The sequence below is a fragment of the Homo sapiens genome, chromosome 7 (genome assembly GCF_000001405.40).
Source record: "Homo sapiens chromosome 7, GRCh38.p14 Primary Assembly".
In the NCBI taxonomy this organism is placed as follows: domain Eukaryota; kingdom Metazoa; phylum Chordata; class Mammalia; order Primates; family Hominidae; genus Homo; species Homo sapiens.
Window position 1 is genome coordinate 27092724 of NC_000007.14, and position 16116 is coordinate 27108839.

A 16116-nucleotide genomic window follows, 5' to 3' on the forward strand; every position below is an offset into this window, starting at 1 on the left:
TGTGCAACCCAGAGATGGGGAAGAAGGGGTGAAGAGCCGCAGGAAGGGATGGATGTTGACAGGAAGAATGGGGGAAGGGATGCAAGGGTTTACTAAAAACACTCCATTTCAAGGGTGGAATATATCAGAACTCTGCCTGACAATCCAAAAAGAAGGAAGAGGAGTGGAATAAGGGCCCCATCCTCACAACAACTTTATACTGGAGCTAATTAAATGTGAATCTCTTAGCTCTTGGTTCACTGATGTGAGGAAAGACTGACTGAAGACAGTTTTGGCTTTTGAAGGGAGTTCTGTTTATATATACGTCAACATCCAGTTGGAGGTGAAAAGGTTAGCACTTGACCCAGGAAGTATCCATGTTTGTTTCAAAAATAAATCTGCTTCATAAATTTCTTCATCAGTCTTTTTTTCCATTATGAGCTTTGATTATAATAAAGGAGCTGTTATTAACTTTTATTCAAGAAAAGGCCCATCTCTTTGAAAATATTTACCACCCTTCTCCCTTTCCCCTCATGAAATGTGCCAACTTCATAGGAATTAACAAATTGTAGCCCAGCCAAATACACGGATGCTTAAGCATACCTGAAACTTGAGTATATTTATTTATTACAGACATCCTAAGACCCGTAAACTCTGCTCTGGATCATATCACTCCAGGATCTCAGAGCTGTTCATGATTGTACAGGAAATGGGGAATATCATAGGCTCACAAAGGATAACTGATAGAACTCAGTGTGGTACTTTGGGGACATCAAACATTGTGCGACATGCAAAAGACTATTCACGAATAACACAAAATATACATTCATTGTGCCATCCATCACATTAACAATTGAGCTGAAAATACATTATATCCAGCTAAGATAACTGTGGAAGGAAGAAATTGGTTTGAATAATACTTTTAGGTTCTGAATAACCCAGCACAAATTTTAAACAGAGGGTGGCCCGAGAAGAAAGGGGTAGAGATTGGGAAAGACTTAGCACAGGAAGCCGGGTTTCTGAAGTTTGTGCTCTGCAGGGCTTCTTAACTGTAAGAACAAATCAAGGCTACCCTCTGAGGCATCTGATTGGGTTTAAATGAGGGAATTTTTTCTTTCACCTATAAAATTGTACCAGTTTAGAGAGTTTGCCCACCCTGTTTTAGTAACCTAAACATTTCTAGAAAATCTGTATAAAGATAAATCTCTTAGGACAAAGTATTTACAACCAGCAAACTCACACACATGAAAATGACTTAAATTAAGGGATGAATTAATTGTGTAAACATATAGTGCATCTCTTCTTCCTGAGCTCCTGGACTCGCCTTTCGCTATATCCTACTTTCAAGGACAAGGGAGGGGAGAGCTGTACATATAGTTAGATAAAAGATGAGAAGATTCCTTCTGGCATGTTTCTGTTGGCAAAGGGAACTATTTTCCAAAAGGTCATCTGAAAGGAACAGTAGGTTCTGTGAATTCTCCTAAAAGCAGGAGGGATGTTAAGGCCCACCAGAAAATGTATGCTGGCACCCAATCTGGATGAAGGTGTTAACCCCGCACCAAGTCTCTGGTCCAGAATTATCTGCAAATATATTATCCTGGCCAGGAGCTCCCCAGATAGGATTAGAAAGGAAGAAAGAGACTGTAAATGGAAAGAAAGATAAGCTAAGCATGTGCTTTGGGTAAGAAGTCCCAGCCCAAGGAGATGCCTGGGCTGTTGTCTGGGGCTGGAGCCGCCTCAGTGGGAGGTAGTCAGAGTGTCTGAGGTAGAAGACCCCGGGGAAGGAACGCAGGGCGAAGAGCTGGACTTCTCTGAGGATTCCTCGGCCTTCTCGTCGTTTCCTGGCGGGGTGGCCGGAGAGATGGGCAAGAGACCCTCCTTCTCACGTTTCTTTTGCTTCATTCGGCGGTTCTGGAACCAGATCTTCACTTGGGTCTCGTTGAGCTGCAGGGATGCAGCGATCTCCACCCTGCGGGCGCGCGTCAGGTACTTGTTGAAGTGGAACTCCTTCTCCAGTTCCGTGAGCTGCTTGGTAGTGAAGTTGGTGCGCACCGCGTTGGGTTGACCCAGGTAGCCGTACTCTCCAACTTTCCCTGGGGCAAAGTGGGAAGCCATGAGACGGAAATGTAAAAATTTTTAAATCGACTTGAGATTCCCCACACGCTTCATGGCAACACTCAGGTAAAGAAAAGATCAAGAACTCAGCACAAATCGGGCTGTGGAGGGTGAGTGATGAGGTGTAAAGTGTTAACCTGATGTAAACCATTAGCATGGTCAGACCGGTGATTAATGGAGCCTCAAGATATTAACAGAACACTACCGTCACAATAACCACCCCCACATACTTCCTATTTCCCAAATGTATAAAATCCTTGAAAACACACCAATCCCTGAGACTTCTTTGCCCCAACACCTCTGGGCACCCTCTCCATGCACTACAACACTAGTCTGATACAAAAGCCTTTTAAAAAAAAGATCATTATTAATTTCCTTGGAAATTAAGCATACCAGCTCCTTCCAGAATAATCAAGGAGCATCCACCAACCAGCAGGACTGACCTGTTTTGGGAGGGTTTCTTTTGACTTTCATCCAGTCAAAAGTCTGCGCTGGAGAAGATGTCTCCGATGCGGGGGAGCGACAGGCTTCTTGGTGGCTGGCGTGGAGAGGGGACAAGGAGTTATTATACGTAGCCAGGGCCAGGCTCTGGTGCTCCTGTCCATATGAGTGGTGAATGTATTGAGGCGAGCCCACCGCGCCCCCAGCATAACCCTGGTGGTGGTGGTGATGCTGGACCATGGGAGATGAGAGATTTCCAGAGTAAACAGCGGGAGCGCACTGGGGGTACCCACCACTTACGTCTGCTTCCTGATTTAACGCGTAGGGGCTGTAAGGCGCACTGAAGTTCTGTGAGCCATAGCTTGGACCACAACTTGAGTGGGAGTAGGACACCCCCAGGTTCCCGGAAGTCTGGTAGGTAGCCGGCTGGGGGTGGCGATGGTGGTGGTGGTGGTGGTGGTGGGGCGAACCGATCTGCACCCCCCTGCCCACTAGGAAGCGGTCGTCGCCGCCGCAACTGTTGGCGCTGACCGCGCACGACTGGAAAGTTGTAATCCTATGGTCCGAGGGGTAGGCTCGGGCTGAGCAGGTCCCCGAGTCGCCACTGCTAAGTATGGGGTATTCCAGGAAGGAGTTCATTCTTGCATTGTCCATCTGTCACTGAGTGACCTGGTCCTGCGAAGCCCGGCGTGACTGTGCCAACTTTCTCACTTCCTCCATGGGGCCGGAGAAGAAAAATGATATGAATGTACAGTGCGCAAGAGGGGGGGCGGGAGGGCGGAGGACGCTGGAGGAGGGGCACGTGACGGTGTCAGCCAATGGCTGAGCCTCCTGCAAAAGTTTGCCGGCTTCCGCAGTGATGGATCACCGTTTTAGTGGCATTTAAATCCCCGGCGCTCCGCCGTCTAGGTGACGCGCAGTCGCCCCCCCAGGCAGCCTAGGCGGCGGCAGCTGCTGCGGCGACTGCAAAGGCCGATTTGGAGTGCTGGAGCGAAGAAGAGCAAAAGCTGCGTTCTGCGCGCGCCCGACTCCGCTGCCCGCCCCGCCAGGCCTCCGGGAGGTGGGGGCTGGGAGGCGTCCCCCGCTCCCGCCCCCTCCCCACCGTTCAATGAAAGATGAACTGGCGAGAGGTGAGAAGGGAAGAGGGCTCCCGGCTCTCTCGGGGCGGGAATCAGTGGGCCAGAGCTCGCCGGGTGGCCGCAAGTACGCCGGCCCAGCCCGCAGCGCGCCCAGCCGGAAGGCGGGGAATCCGGCTGACACCGCGCCCCGGGTTCCCAGGCCACCTCCTCTGTTCTGAGGCTGGGCTGGGAGACCGTGGGGCTGTGAGGAGCGCATAGAACCGTGGTGGAGGGCGAGGCTGGGCCACCGGCTCTTCAAGCTCGGAATGGAGGGGGAAGAGCGCAGAGGGCTGGCTGGGAGGAACTCGGGTGGGCGTGAAGGAGACGAGGGCAAGAAAAGAAACTTCCCTTCTTCCAGGAGGGTCTTCGAAACCCTCTCCCCACAGCCCCTCTCGTCATTAGCATGGCAATGAGGAGTTTCTGTAATTCGACTTGGAGGGGCGGATGAGCCCTGGAAACTCAGAGCTCGCCGGAAAAGGCCGGGGGCGGCCGGGCTCTTCTTCCCCACCTTCCCTCTCTCGTCGCTCTCCGCCCCTTTCTCTTTCCCACTCAGTTTTGCACCGGGAGCCCTCCGGGATGCGGAGCTACTCGACCGCCGGATTTTTAGGGGTAGGAGGCGGGGGAGAGAGATGACGCTGGCGGACGTGGCCAGCGCGGGGGCCGGGCGGTGCGCTGCAGGCCATCTGCCGGCGCCCTGAGACCCAGGAGCCTCCGCGCTCCCGCGTGGGCCTCACAGGGCCGGTCCACAGCTCCAACATAGTAGCTGAACTCCCTTCGTTGCGTTCCTCTTTTTCTGGAGGGGAATGTTAGAAGAGAGAGAGAGCTTCCTTTTATAACCTTCCTCATTCTGCTGCACGTCTAGAGTGGGTGTGGGGGCTGGCAGGTGGGAGGGGCGGTGGACAAATGGCTGATGGTGGACGGGACACTTTACCCCAACGACACCTCCTCCCCTTTCCAACTGGCTGTGTAGTTGCTTATGAGAACCTTCAAGTCCTTCCCTAGAGAGACACATGCAAATCTGAGCCTCATCCCAGGCCAGGGGTCCTGTTCCTCATCACCCTACTTCCCTGAGGCTGCTGAGGTCGTTAAATTGTTGTTTACTATTAGGTTTCACGTCAACCCTGGGCTTGTAGAGAGAAAAAGCCAAACGGAGACCAAGAATTGATGCAGTCTTGGGTAGGAGAAATCGAGAGCTTGTCCAGGAAGCTTTGCTGTATAAATTATAAGCAATGCTGTATAAATTTTACTCCAACCATGTGTACAATGTTGGAATCAGATGAAATTTATAGTGAATGAATGTATGTGGGTTTGGGGTTTCCACTCCTCTTCAGCCTTTCCTCCCGTTAGAACAAGGAAGGTTTTTTTTTTTTCAAGGAAGGTACATTTCAAATATGTTAGTCACCCTTTCAGTCTTCTGTATTCTGTTCTCCACGTACCGAAGTTCCCCCAAACCTGTCCTCTCAAGAGAAAAAACCCATGCTGACTCTGGACTCCCTCAGTAACAATGAAACATTCTCCCCAAACATTTCCTTTCAGAATAGTATTTGTGACTTTGATCCATCCCAAGCATGGTTAAGAGGGAGCACGGGCAGGAAAGGCCCACTTTCTGGGGTTGGGCAGCCACCCCTGCCCCAGTTTCGGCTCCTGGGAATCCTCCGACTGGAGAAGGGGAAAGGCAAGGCAGTCCTCCTGGAGGCGGCTTCCTTGGGAGCACCAGCTTCCAGCGGCGGGGAGAGAAGGAGCTCCTGTGGGAGAGGGGGCAGGATGTGAGTAGGTCGGTGCTGGCTATGCGAGCAATCCTCCCTCCAAGCCTGAGCAAGTCGGTACATTTTCCCCCGCTGCCTCATTCCTGTACCTTGGTTGCCCTCCTCAGCCTGGGTTTGCAGGACCCCCTCGGCTGCAGGGCGCCTGCCACAAAGCCGACCCCGGCAGGAGCCACTCTCTCTGCTAGTTCGCTGCCTCGGCCCTGCTCTCCCTCAGCCTCTCTTCTTCTCTCCTGGCCTCTTTTCTGGGGCATCCTGGGTGGAGTGTTTTTCTTGGGATCACGAGCTTGCACTCGCACACAGGCCCGCAGACACACAGGCCCGGCGGCCGCCCTTCTCCGCTTACTGTTCCCGGCTCCCCGCAGGCCGGGTGCTCGCAGCCGGGCTGGCTATGCCTCGCCTGGCAGCCCAGAGCGCCGCTCCCCGGGAACAGCACACAAAGGCAGCCTCCCCTGGCCTCTAGCCCTTAGGCTTCTGTAGCTCAGTTCTTTCCCCACACCCCTCCCCCAAGAAATTCTGGGGGCCGTTCCACCGAGTAGGAGATCCTTGGCCCTCTAGGCAAGTAGGTCAGCGCCCCAAGACTGGAGCTGGTCTCTTTCAACGCCTTGGGAGACTGGGTGAAAGGCGAGCTTGGTTACGCTTAAAATGATCGCCTACAAGCGGTTCTCTTGGCTCAAAACGCCTCTTTCAGGGCTCTTATGCTAGAAAGGAAAGGAATAAGGAGGAGATAAAATGACGCCGAGGCCCTGAACTGTTCATGGCATCCGCGGCTCAGCCAAGCTGTTGTTTTAAAAGAGCAATAAAAATGAATTATGACTAAACGCCTTCTAACTTAATGCTTTCGGACGGGGATCCCCGGCAAATAACGTAAGAGGATTTTTATTTGTGCATGTGTTCCTGCAATTGATCTCTTTGATGACATTCTCATTCATAGAAAGCGTTTGATTTATGAGCGTAGGACGAATCGCATCCAGGAGCTGCGCAGCCCTGGCCGCTGCCGGGACGCCCTGCTCCGCGCTGAGCTTGGGGCCAGAAACCAGCCATAGTCCCCACACTCCGCCGCCGCAGCTGAGATTTAGCGGAGGAAGGGGCGAGGGAAGGTAGGGAGCAAACCTATGAAGAAACATCGCGTTGTCATTGGAACTTCCAAGCCTTTGCTGTTAAGAGCCAGGTTCTTAAATCAACCCGCCCCACACACATGTTGCTTACATGCTGCGTTTTCTCACGGTAAGTAAGTAGGCATCAGAAGAGAGCTCAGAAAGGGAAAAATAAACATGGGGAGACCTAACAAGGGAGGGGGGAAAAGCAACAACCCAGTGACACACCCTAGATCACATTTTATTGATATTTCATTTAAAGTGCTTTTCTCTCTCTCTAGAACCTGCGTTAATTTATAACCTAGGGTGTAGAAACACACCATTTTAAATCTCAACTTGCTAACCTGACTTCGAAGCATTAACGATCTATTATTAGCAATGTAAACAGGTTTAAGAATGAAATATTGATTTTTCTGACCCTGAAAAAAAAAAAAAAATCCTAGAGTGACTGAACCAGAGGATTGGAAAGAACATTTTCTAGGGTGCATTTTCCAGATAGTAATCACTGTTTTGTTTTATTTTTGTTTTTCTCTATCTTTTAGGTCTGTTTTGCCTGAACCCATCAACAGCTGGGAGATTAATCAACCACACTGAAAATGTGGAGGGATTTATGGGGGAGGGGGTTGAAATGTGGGTGTTTGAAACAAAAGTGTATAAACAAATGAATTGTTGATAACTTAGTTATTGACCTGGAGACTGGTAGCTTATTAAAGAAACTCCGTGTTACTCATTCCTGGAGTTGGGGGTTTCTGTAGGCACTTTATTTCTCCACTTTCAAGAGCTTGGGCTTGGCCCAAATCTTAGACTGTCCAATTCTGCCTCTATTACCAATTTAAATCTATGGCTTGAACCTGTGCACTGAAAATCAAATCCTTTAAAAAGAAAGAGGAGAAGAAGAAGCAAAAAAGAAAGAAAAAACACTTATTAGAAGCCCTAGTCATTTTTTGGCTTTCTGTTTTGTTGCTGTCCATTGAAGACTTTGAACATGCCGCCTTAATAAATGTATTAAAATTGAAAAAAGAGGATAAATTGTGACGAATTTTATTTACGAAGTTAGACTAAAAGAAGAAAAAGAACCCGTTATGAGCCTTGAAAAAAGAGGGGGAGAAAAATAAGCTACTTATAGCAAAGGAGAATTTATTCTACAAAAAATATGCATGACAATGCATCCCAATGTAATACAAAAATAAAAAGAAAGTGAAGATACAATTATATGATCACTTTCTTGCAGGCCTCATACTGCTCTCAGGAATCACATAAAGGGTTGTTGAGTTAGGTTTAAAACAACTAAAACTCCAAAATAATCTGTAAAAGATGGCTCTGTTTGAAACTGGGTCAGGGAATCACTAAACAGAAAATCCTCAACACTTAAAGGAGGGAAGGGGTAGGTCAAGAAGAAAATAAAAAATAAACTCCCAAATAAAAGAAGGCAAAACCACCTGGTCAAAGGAGTTTTTGTTTGGTGATGCTTTGTTTTGCTTTAATGTTTTTAGTAATTCAGATGCTGCAAGTCGATTGTGGTGAGTGTGTCTGTAAAAAAGTCTAAGCTGTCAGCTGAAATATCTACGGGACTGTCGAGGGAACCTGGCAAACTGGGTGAAACTGCATCTGAAAGCTGCAGGCAGGAATCTGTGGAGAAAACGCTAAAGTCCTGCAAAGAGGGGACCTCAAGGGCCTCAGGACTGTCATTGTTTAGGCCAGCTCCACAGTTCTGGCCCATTGTTGACAAGCAGTTGGGAACAGTGGGTGACTGGTGCTGAAAATGTTTCAGATTTTTCTCATTGCTGGTTAAAGGCGAGACTGGGAAACTTTGGGAGTCGCCATTGTGTCCATTGGGAGCCTGCTGCTGAGAGAGGGCATTTTGCTGAAAAGTGTAGCCTTCCCTCTCCAGAAGGGCCCCAGAGACGCTAAGGGCTTGCTCAAAGAGCGTCTTCTCTTCCTCGTCCTCCTCTACTTTCTCGGAGTCCTCAAGGCTTTTACATTTCCCTTCGCTGTTTTGGTTTTCCTTGCACTGGGTCTGCCTCTTGTGCTTCATCCTCCGGTTCTGAAACCACACTTTCACTTGTCTCTCAGTCAAATCCAGCAGCGCTGCAATCTCCACCCTTCGGGGTCTGCAAAGGTACTTGTTGAAATGAAATTCTTTTTCCAGCTCTAGAAGCTGTGTGTTGGTGTAAGCAGTTCTCAGGCGCCGCGATCCCCCGCCGCTGCCATCGGCGATTTCCAGGGATTCTGCGGAAAGGGAAACCAACAAGAGACACACGCACAGTTGGAGGTGGAGGGGTCCGAGCGGGGTTATTCCACTGGAGAATAAATATAGCAGAAAAGATCAACTGCAACAAAATGGCCGCCCCTGGATGCAGTAGAGCTATTGTGCTGCCTTTCCTGGGAGCCCAGCCTGGGCAGACCCCGTCTCCTCCATCTCTATCGAATTCATGCCTGTGGCTCCCCCCAACCTCTTCATCCGGGAGCAAACTTTATATTAGCCACAACACAATTTATAATTAATGCGTCAGCTGCTTAGCTGAGCAAGAGCGATCTATCACTCTTCATTACTGTCAAAAAGCCAAACTCTAGGACAACTAGACAGGAGGAGGTCAGTTCCAACTCAAATAAATCATCCCACATTACACAAGTTCGGGAAAGTTTCCCCCCACTTCCTAAAAATATATATGTCTCATTGTAGAGCGCAGGATCCCCTTTCCTCTCCATCAAACCCACTCCTGAACCCACAGGGGCAGGGACAAGGCAACCAAGCATCTCTCCCTCTCCTCCTTCTCTCCCAGCCCACTCTCCCCTCCCCCCACAGCCACTCTCGGGGCAGCCCGGAGAAGGAAGAGGGTCCCAGAGACCTGGGGCCAAGTCTTTGGACTGACCTTTGTGGCTGAGGCAAGCAGGGCCGGTGGCTGCGGCGGTGGCGGCGGCGGCGGCGGCCGGCAGAAGTGCGGTTTTCTTGGCCGCCTTCTTCTCCTTCATCCAGGGGTACTCGGGCGGCTGCAGGGCGCCGGCGGGCACCGGGCTGCCGCGGCTGCCCGCGGGGCTCGGCTTGGGGCGGCCGCCAGCGCCGTGGCGAGGGTGACTGCCGGGGTTCAGGCTGGGAATGGTCTGCTCAAAAGGAGGAGGAATCAGTGTCGAGTGTGAAAGCGTCGAGGTCTTGATTGATGAACTTTGAAATGTATCAGCGACAGGGGGAAAAGATGTCAGGCACTCAGCGAGCGACGGCTGGCTATTGATAAAACCAATCTCTCGCTCAAATTCGTAATTCATGGCCTTCTCCTTGGAGCCCCCTCAGAGAAAAAGTTCCCTCTTTTGGAGGGGCTTTGGGGGGGCAAGGCCTAGGAAAAAGGCGAGCGCAGAGGAAAAAAAATCTATCATAGAATATCGCTGCTAGGGTGTTTTTTTTCTAATTCACTGATTACAGCCGTATGGGGACCGCGCTACTATTAAACTATTGAATTCATGGAGACAAGGTTGAAATTGGACCGAATTGGCTGTCACATGATTGCTTCTGCCCAATGACAATTTGGGCTTTAATCAAAAGAAGCCACTGTCTGTTTGATTGATCCAAAAAAGTCGGGAAGGAACGCCTCATTGGGGGCCAGCGAGGCTTTATTTACACTTTTTTCAGAGCAAAAATACATATATGTTGGTGTGGGTGGGGATGTCCCGGAGTACGTGGGGGCGAGGGTGCCTGCGTGCCTCCTGATCTGCAAGGATCTATCTAGTGTGTGTGCCTGGGAGTGTGTGTGTGTGTGTGTGAATGTGCGCGAGTGTAAGCCCTGCTGTCGGTCCCGCCGGTGGCTGCCCTCTGCCTCCCCCGCACACTCCGCGCATTGTTTGGGACTGTCGGGAAGACGCCTCGCACCTCACAAATCATTTAAGCACCTCAGTCTGACGCCTGCAGTCATTAACAAAGTAATCCATTAATCTTCAAAGTTTTGACACCCGAGGGCCCTGCGTCCCAGCCACATAAGTTCTGTTAAAGCAGGAGAAAGGAGCAGAGGAAGAGAGGAGATGAGAGAGGGAGAATAAAGAGAGAGGGAAGAAGAGAGAGTTTGAGAGATGGAGAAAGAGAAGACAGAAAAGAGAGAAGAAAGGAAAGATTTTGGTTGGGAAGGGGTCTTCCTTTTCTTTCCCTTTTCCTCCTTCACTTTTCCTAAAAGCAGTTCCTGGATCTCAAAACTGATCTCTCTCGGTCTGTTTTCCTTCCTGTCTGTCCCTTTCCCTCTTTTTCCTCTTCTCCCCCTTTCTCCCTCCCTCTCTCTTCTGTCCGCCTCCCCTTCTCCCCTCAGCCTCTCGCCCCCCTCCCAGTGTCCAGCCCAGAGTCTGCGCCCCGGGCCCATTGTTAGCAGGCTATTCCACGGCAGCTTTGCATCTGGCTCCGGCGGGAAGCGGAAAACGGGAGGCGGCTCTCGAAGCTTCCCGACCTTCCTGCGCCATCAACTTCTCAGGAGTGGCTGGAGAAAGATGCATGTGCCAAGCGAGACAACAACCCCAGGTCCATGTGTCCAAATCCCCGTAGCCAGGGCGGCGGCCAGCCAAAGAAATGCCGCCCCGAGCAGGCGCGTGCGGCTCCTGGCATTCTGGGTTTCATACCCGTAGGGCTCGGGTGCGGTGAGTATTTCCGATTTCCAGGAAGTCTGTTGGAAGTTACCAGCAGGGAAAGAGAAGATGCTTGCTCCTCTCTTTCCCTCCCTCTCTCTTTTTTTTCTACCCTTCTTCTTGTCCTTGTCGCTCTGGTTGGGGGCTGGTTGGTTTAGATACAGCGAGTGCTCCCTGGCAGCCTGAACTGCCTCCCACACCTTCCTGATCCTTGGGCACCGGGGATGTTTGCTTCCGGGTTCTGTTGTGGGAAACAGCACTGCGGGGGAGAGGAGGCGACCCAAGGAGGAATTATAAAGGTTTTCGTTCTCCTTCATTATCTTTTTTCCAATTCGGAGACTTGAGACTGAGCGCATCTTGGACAGTGCTAGAGGGTTCAAAAGATAACACCTTTAGGTACCAAAAAATAATTTTTAAAAAATCCACCAAGCCAGAAAGAGGTGAGGAGGCTGAGAGGTAGATCTGGAGGTACCTCTTTCCCCCCCAAACCCTGAGGATGGTGATTCGCTTTTGCTTCCTTTGAAATAGACTAACTGATCAGACTCCCCCAGGCCGGCAGGCATCAATGGCAGGAAAATAAATCATTCTGATGGTCAGGGAGAGAGAGGTTGGAGGGGGAGAAAAATCTACGTAGAAAACAAGAAAGGCCAACCAAGGAGCAAAGGCAGGACCCCATCTCTGAGGCCAGCGTCAAAGAGGGTTTGGGGTGGAAATTAGACATAAGTGGCCTATATCATTGACCAGCCCAGAGCATTGCCTTGCAGATAGAGATGCTATTTTGGAAAATGTGAGGTTTTTTAGTTTTCTTGCTTTTATTCCAAACAAAGCTCCAAAGGAAGTCTGGGCGCGATCAATCTTGCTCACCAAAAGCCTTGACAGCTTCTAGCCCTTAAGAACACATTTCAGCTTCCAGCTCCTTCCAAGATAAAATGTGGCCGAGCAAAGAGGAGAGCAGGAAATGCAAGTAAATAAGGAAAACTAGTCTTTTAAAAAATATATTTTGGCAGTGAAAAGGGTTATAGGGCTCCTTTTAGGAAGGGTGCTTTGCGAACCCTGGGATGGCAGCTTTTGGCATCTGCTTTTACCAGAAAATATTACAGGCTTAAGGGAACGTGGGCGGGGGGTGCAGAGAGGGAGCAGCGCTGCCCCCATATCTCTGAGGCTTTGTCAGGGGCTGCGTGGGTGAGAGCTTTCTGCTGCCTCAGCCGCCTTAATTCAAATACCATCTGGAAGAAAACCCTTTTCTTTGACCACTCAACACTGAAATCTTCCCCAAATCTATTACTTTAACTTATGAGATATTTTAATAAGGATTTCTTTTTAATATCTAGGAAACTGGGGGGTGAAGTCAATACTTTTTTCTTTGAAAGCCAAAATGAATGTCTTGACTGGTAAGATGCGGGAAATCACATTAGAATCTCATTTTAAAATCTTAGCCCTGGGGGAAGGAGGAAGCCTCCAAACCACCCCTCCCTCAGCTAAAGAGTAGATTTCAGAAACGTGTTCAAATAGTGATATCCCTGAAGGATCTTCATCCTTAGGTGAATCTCTCCCCTAGCTGTTCCTTATTTTTCCAGGTAATTTTACACGTGTCTCTAAGCTGATTACTTAAAAGAAGACTCCTGTATCTGCTTAGCGTGACGAAGAGGTGGAAGCTCTAGTCTTCACAAAGCCTGGTTTTGCAGCCTCTGCATTTCTGAGGTGCGCCATATTTTGGCGCAGAGGTTGAGGTGCGGAGAGGAAATCTATTTCTCCCATAGCCCAAACCCTTTAAAAAGGATATATATATCAGCAGCCTTAGGACAGATATGGGGAAAGCACCTCTGGGTGTGAGAGAAACACTGAGCTCTCCACAGCAGCCTGGCTTGGCATCCTCCGAGCCTTTTCCTTAAACCATGAGGAGTTTCTCTAAAAGCAGCTCGTTGGGACCCAGCAGGTACCCAGAAATGGCTCCAGTGCCTGCTTCTAAGGATAATCTGAGGGAGCTTCACAGGGGGAAGATAAAGGCCATGATGATGGATATTTTGGATTGCAAACAAAATGGCGACATTTTCCACTTCTGTCTCTGAAAGATACAATCCAGGGAGAATAGGGATTTATTTCTCACATCCGATGCTCCTGATCCCCAGACGAAAGCAGTTCCTCGCTTCTAGCTCTGAAGGGGGTGATGATGGGGATGCAGGTCTGAGGTCTGCATTTTCTGAATTTGATTCCTTTCTCGAGGAATCCTTAAATCTGAAGATGAAAATATTTCCCTTTACTGTGCCTTCTTTTGCCTCTTCTAGCCAGTCAGTAAGCAGCCCTATCTTAAATCCAGGAGTGGAAATGTAATATTTAGCTCCTACAACATCAAATGAAAAATTTATAAAATTGCAGTTTTATTACAAAGATACCGATCTCCTTGCTCTCTCCCCCTCCCCCTGGGGCCATAAAAAGAAAGCTGGGTGGGGGAAGGAGAGGAAATAAATTCAGAGAATGCCAAATACTACATTCAGCAGGAAGCTAATGCTGGGATTCCGGCAGTCCAGGGAAGGGCTGGCTCAGGGTGACTCTCCCCAGTTCAGTCCTCCGTTTGCTGGAGACCTGGGTGAGCCTCAGTCCCTTTCAAACTGTTTCGCTCCGCGTGCAGATTTTTGGAGCAATTCTTTCCTCCTGACGCGATAACAGACCGCGAAGCATCCCCGGAGGAGACCAGGAGTCCGATTGCTCCCGGAAAGTGCTCGGCATCCTCTGCGCGGCTGGCTAATACCGAGGTTTAGGCGTTAGTTGGTCCGCTTTGACCCGAGGAAGAGCATGGAGCAGAAGACCGCCCTGCGTTATCCCCCGGCTGGGCCGCGGGGCACCTGTGCGCTCCCGCTGCGCCTTGGGCCGGGATGTCTTTGTTTCTTCCGTGCACAGCACTCGGCAGCCCCTGCGCCCTCAGCCTGCCTCCGCAGCAGCTGGGAACCGGGCAGCCCAGCTGGCCCGCCGCACGGCGTTACCAGAGCTGCCGCAGCCGCCTGGAGCCCCAGCCGCCATCCTGAGAATTCGCCGAGCTTCCAGGCGAATAGCCTGGCCAGGCCCCATGCTGGAGCCAGAGGGCTGCTGCGTCCGGCCTGCTCTGCCGGCTCGCCTCGGCCTGAATTCCACGCAGACCCACGTCTTCGGCCAAAGAACCCCTTCTTAACACGGATATTATTCAGAATAAAAACTTTATTTCTTTTTGTTTCTCAGAATGTGAGCAGCAAGGAATGAAGAACTCTCAAAACAAATCTAGTATTTTTCGCGTTTACAGATTTTTTTTTTCAGTTTTGCCGGATGTTACAAACCTAAATCACTGTTTTCAAAAGCTGGATCTTCTCTGGTTTTATTGTATCGTTACCGTTTAAAGGAATTATATTTCTCTTTCAAATAAAAAAAATTCTAAGTACGCCAATACACAATTGAACAAAAGGCCCAAGAACCCTTCTGAACCATCAGGGTACAGAATTCTTTAATATAAATACGAACGGATGGGGATAAATAATATTTAAAACTTAGATTATTCAATGCTTGCAAAAAAATATAAATAAATCTGACTGTTCACCAGCATACACACACGGAAAGACGTACACTTAGTCATCCTTGCACAGAGAGCCCCTGTTTCAAAGCGCCTTTGATTTTTTTTCTCACTCTTTACAAGAAGTGCAATTAAAAAAAAAATTTAAAATTAAAAAAAGTAATCGCTTCCCCTCGGGAGCCATAATGTAAGAACAAATTCACATTGAAAACTCGACTAGAAAATTTGTTCATATACCCTGTTTCTGATCAAAGAGTGGAGAAGGTAAAGGGTGCAGGGCCAGTGGCCTATCGAGGAGCAGGAAGAGATAAATATCGCTATGATACAGCCATTCCAGCAACCAAGATTGCTACGTCACATAAACTATAAAAACGCCTTACCAACGAGGGGGGAAACCGGGAAACGGAGTGCGGGGCGGAGAAGAGAGAAAAGGAAGGAAGGAAAGGGCAGGAAGAACCTAAAAAAAAAAAAAAAAAAAAGCAACCAAAGAAAAAAGGTGGGTGGGGGGAGACTCTCCTGGCGCGTAGCCCCAAGCCCACTATCACAGGTGGGTGAGCTTGGGTGCTTCCTGAATTCTTCCCTGAGAAGGATGGTGGCCGGTAAGGTCCGTGTAGGTGGGGTGCGGCTCCCCAGGCCCCGGCCCGTGGTGGTGGCCGCTGCCCAGCGGCCCGGCACCCCCATAGTCCATGGCGCCCGAGGCAGCGTGGGGGAGGTGAGTTAGACCAAAGAGGGCTGGCCCGGAGTTGCTCATGGGCTCCACATAGCTGCCCCCCACGAAGACGGGGCTTCCCTGTATGTGTGGGGTCCCATAGCTGCCGTTGCCCTGCAGGCCATGAGCGTGCGGGTCATAGTCGGGGGTGCCCCCTGCGCCCGCCCCTGCCGCCGTGTAGCGCTTCTGTGGGGGTGGCGGGGGTGCGCAGCTGGGCAGGGACGCAGGGTAGGAGGCGGGGGGCAGCCCGTAGGTACCCTGGGGGGGCTTGGAGAAGGGCGGGGGCGACTGGGGCTCATACGGGACGCTGTTGACCAGCGAATGCATAGAGTTCAGATAGCCACCGGCTCCGGGGGGCACGGGGCTGCGACTTGGAGACTGGCCCCCCGATGACGTTAGCATGCCCTTGCCCTTCTGATCCTTTTTGTACTTCATGCGGCGATTCTGGAACCAGATCTTGATCTGGCGCTCAGTGAGGTTCAGCAGATTGGCCATCTCCACCCGGCGCGGCCGGCACAGGTAGCGGTTGAAGTGGAACTCTTTCTCCAGCTCCACCAGCTGCGCGCTCGTGTAGGCCGTGCGCGCGCGCTTGGACGAAGCCTGCCCCGGCGGGCTCTTGTCGCCAGCGCAGCTTTCGCCTGCGAGGACAGAGAGAGGAAGAGCGGCGTCAGGGGCTGCCGCGGCCCCGCCCAGCCCCTGACCCAGCCCGGCCCCTCCTTCCACCAGGCCCCAAAGGTTCCTGCATCCGTCAGGTCCC

General features: G+C 50.6%; 3 protein-coding genes and 1 long non-coding RNA gene across 19 annotated transcripts in view, besides 7 other annotated features; 1 reads left to right on the forward strand and 3 right to left on the reverse strand.

The window, feature by feature from the left end:
- Nucleotides 270–3277, reverse strand: HOXA1 (homeobox A1). Of its 2 annotated transcripts, NM_153620.3 has the most exons (3): nucleotides 2836–3277; nucleotides 2538–2632; nucleotides 270–2072 (listed from the first exon to the last, which is right to left on the reverse strand). In NM_153620.3, exons 1-2 carry the CDS (start codon nucleotides 3187–3189, stop codon nucleotides 2573–2575), a joined length of 414 nt encoding a protein of 137 aa, NP_705873.3. In that variant the 5' UTR covers nucleotides 3190–3277; the 3' UTR covers nucleotides 270–2072; nucleotides 2538–2572. The 2 variants fall into 2 exon arrangements, with proteins under 2 accessions (NP_705873.3, NP_005513.2); NM_005522.5 differs by having other exon boundaries at nucleotides 2538–3277.
- Nucleotides 1364–1864: an enhancer, noted in NCBI's record as "H3K4me1 hESC enhancer chr7:27133706-27134206 (GRCh37/hg19 assembly coordinates)". NCBI's record gives its function as "activates a minimal SCP1, AML or CMV promoter by ChIP-STARR-seq in primed H9 embryonic stem cells {active_cell/tissue: H9 hESC(primed)}" and the evidence as "EXISTENCE:reporter gene assay evidence [ECO:0000049][PMID:30033119]".
- Nucleotides 1865–2365: an enhancer, noted in NCBI's record as "H3K4me1 hESC enhancer chr7:27134207-27134707 (GRCh37/hg19 assembly coordinates)". NCBI's record gives its function as "activates a minimal SCP1, AML or CMV promoter by ChIP-STARR-seq in naive H9 embryonic stem cells {active_cell/tissue: H9 hESC(naive)}" and the evidence as "EXISTENCE:reporter gene assay evidence [ECO:0000049][PMID:30033119]".
- Nucleotides 3247–3541: an enhancer, noted in NCBI's record as "tiled region #2148; HepG2 Activating DNase matched - State 4:PromP, and K562 Activating non-DNase unmatched - State 20:ReprD". NCBI's record gives its function as "activates a minimal TATA promoter and a strong SV40 promoter by Sharpr-MPRA in HepG2 and K562 cells {active_cell/tissue: HepG2 | K562}" and the evidence as "EXISTENCE:reporter gene assay evidence [ECO:0000049][PMID:27701403]".
- On the forward strand, nucleotides 3371–7535 carry HOTAIRM1 (HOXA transcript antisense RNA, myeloid-specific 1). 2 transcript variants are annotated; one of them, NR_038366.1, is made up of 3 exons: nucleotides 3371–3665; nucleotides 6375–6643; nucleotides 7056–7535. It is a non-coding gene; the product is annotated as an HOXA transcript antisense RNA, myeloid-specific 1 (long non-coding RNA). The 2 variants fall into 2 exon arrangements; NR_038367.1 differs by lacking the exon at nucleotides 6375–6643.
- Nucleotides 3594–3763: a silencer, noted in NCBI's record as "silent region_18041". NCBI's record gives its function as "represses an Ori minimal core promoter by ATAC-STARR-seq in GM12878 lymphoblastoid cells {active_cell/tissue: GM12878}" and the evidence as "EXISTENCE:reporter gene assay evidence [ECO:0000049][PMID:35858748]".
- Nucleotides 3594–4239: a biological region, named in NCBI's record as "NANOG-H3K27ac-H3K4me1 hESC enhancer GRCh37_chr7:27136009-27136581".
- Nucleotides 3667–4239: an enhancer, noted in NCBI's record as "NANOG-H3K27ac-H3K4me1 hESC enhancer chr7:27136009-27136581 (GRCh37/hg19 assembly coordinates)". NCBI's record gives its function as "activates a minimal SCP1, AML or CMV promoter by ChIP-STARR-seq in naive H9 embryonic stem cells {active_cell/tissue: H9 hESC(naive)}" and the evidence as "EXISTENCE:reporter gene assay evidence [ECO:0000049][PMID:30033119]".
- On the reverse strand, nucleotides 7631–9960 carry HOXA2 (homeobox A2). Its single transcript, NM_006735.4, has 2 exons — nucleotides 9387–9960; nucleotides 7631–8742 (listed from the first exon to the last, which is right to left on the reverse strand). Exons 1-2 carry the CDS (start codon nucleotides 9775–9777, stop codon nucleotides 8003–8005), a joined length of 1131 nt encoding a protein of 376 aa, NP_006726.1. The 5' UTR covers nucleotides 9778–9960; the 3' UTR covers nucleotides 7631–8002.
- Nucleotides 9795–10634: an enhancer, noted in NCBI's record as "H3K4me1 hESC enhancer chr7:27142137-27142976 (GRCh37/hg19 assembly coordinates)". NCBI's record gives its function as "activates a minimal SCP1, AML or CMV promoter by ChIP-STARR-seq in naive H9 embryonic stem cells {active_cell/tissue: H9 hESC(naive)}" and the evidence as "EXISTENCE:reporter gene assay evidence [ECO:0000049][PMID:30033119]".
- The window catches only part of HOXA3 (homeobox A3), a 45574-nt gene continuing 43744 nt past the window's right edge, over nucleotides 14287–16116 (reverse strand). For all 14 annotated transcript variants that reach the window (NM_153631.3, NM_001384335.1, NM_001384336.1 and 11 more), the window contains one exon: nucleotides 14287–15997. In NM_153631.3, coding sequence (NP_705895.1) covers nucleotides 15192–15997 — 806 coding nt within the window. In that variant the 3' untranslated portion in view covers nucleotides 14287–15191. The remainder of the gene's footprint in view (nucleotides 15998–16116) is intronic.

Bases quoted from the DNA above. Each gene is read 5' to 3' on its own strand.
- HOXA2 (NM_006735.4), bottom strand. From the start codon at position 9,777: ATGAATTACGAATTTGAGCGAGAGATTGGTTTTATCAATAGCCAGCCG. The intron at 8,743-9,386 runs GTCAGTCCAAAG...CCCTTTCCGCAG, and splicing joins TGCTTGCCTCAGCCACAAAG to AATCCCTGGAAATCGCCGAT.
- HOXA1 (NM_005522.5), bottom strand. From the start codon at position 3,189: ATGGACAATGCAAGAATGAACTCCTTCCTGGAATACCCCATACTTAGC. The intron at 2,073-2,537 runs GTCAGTCCTGCT...ACTTTGCCCCAG, and splicing joins AAGAAACCCTCCCAAAACAG to GGAAAGTTGGAGAGTACGGC.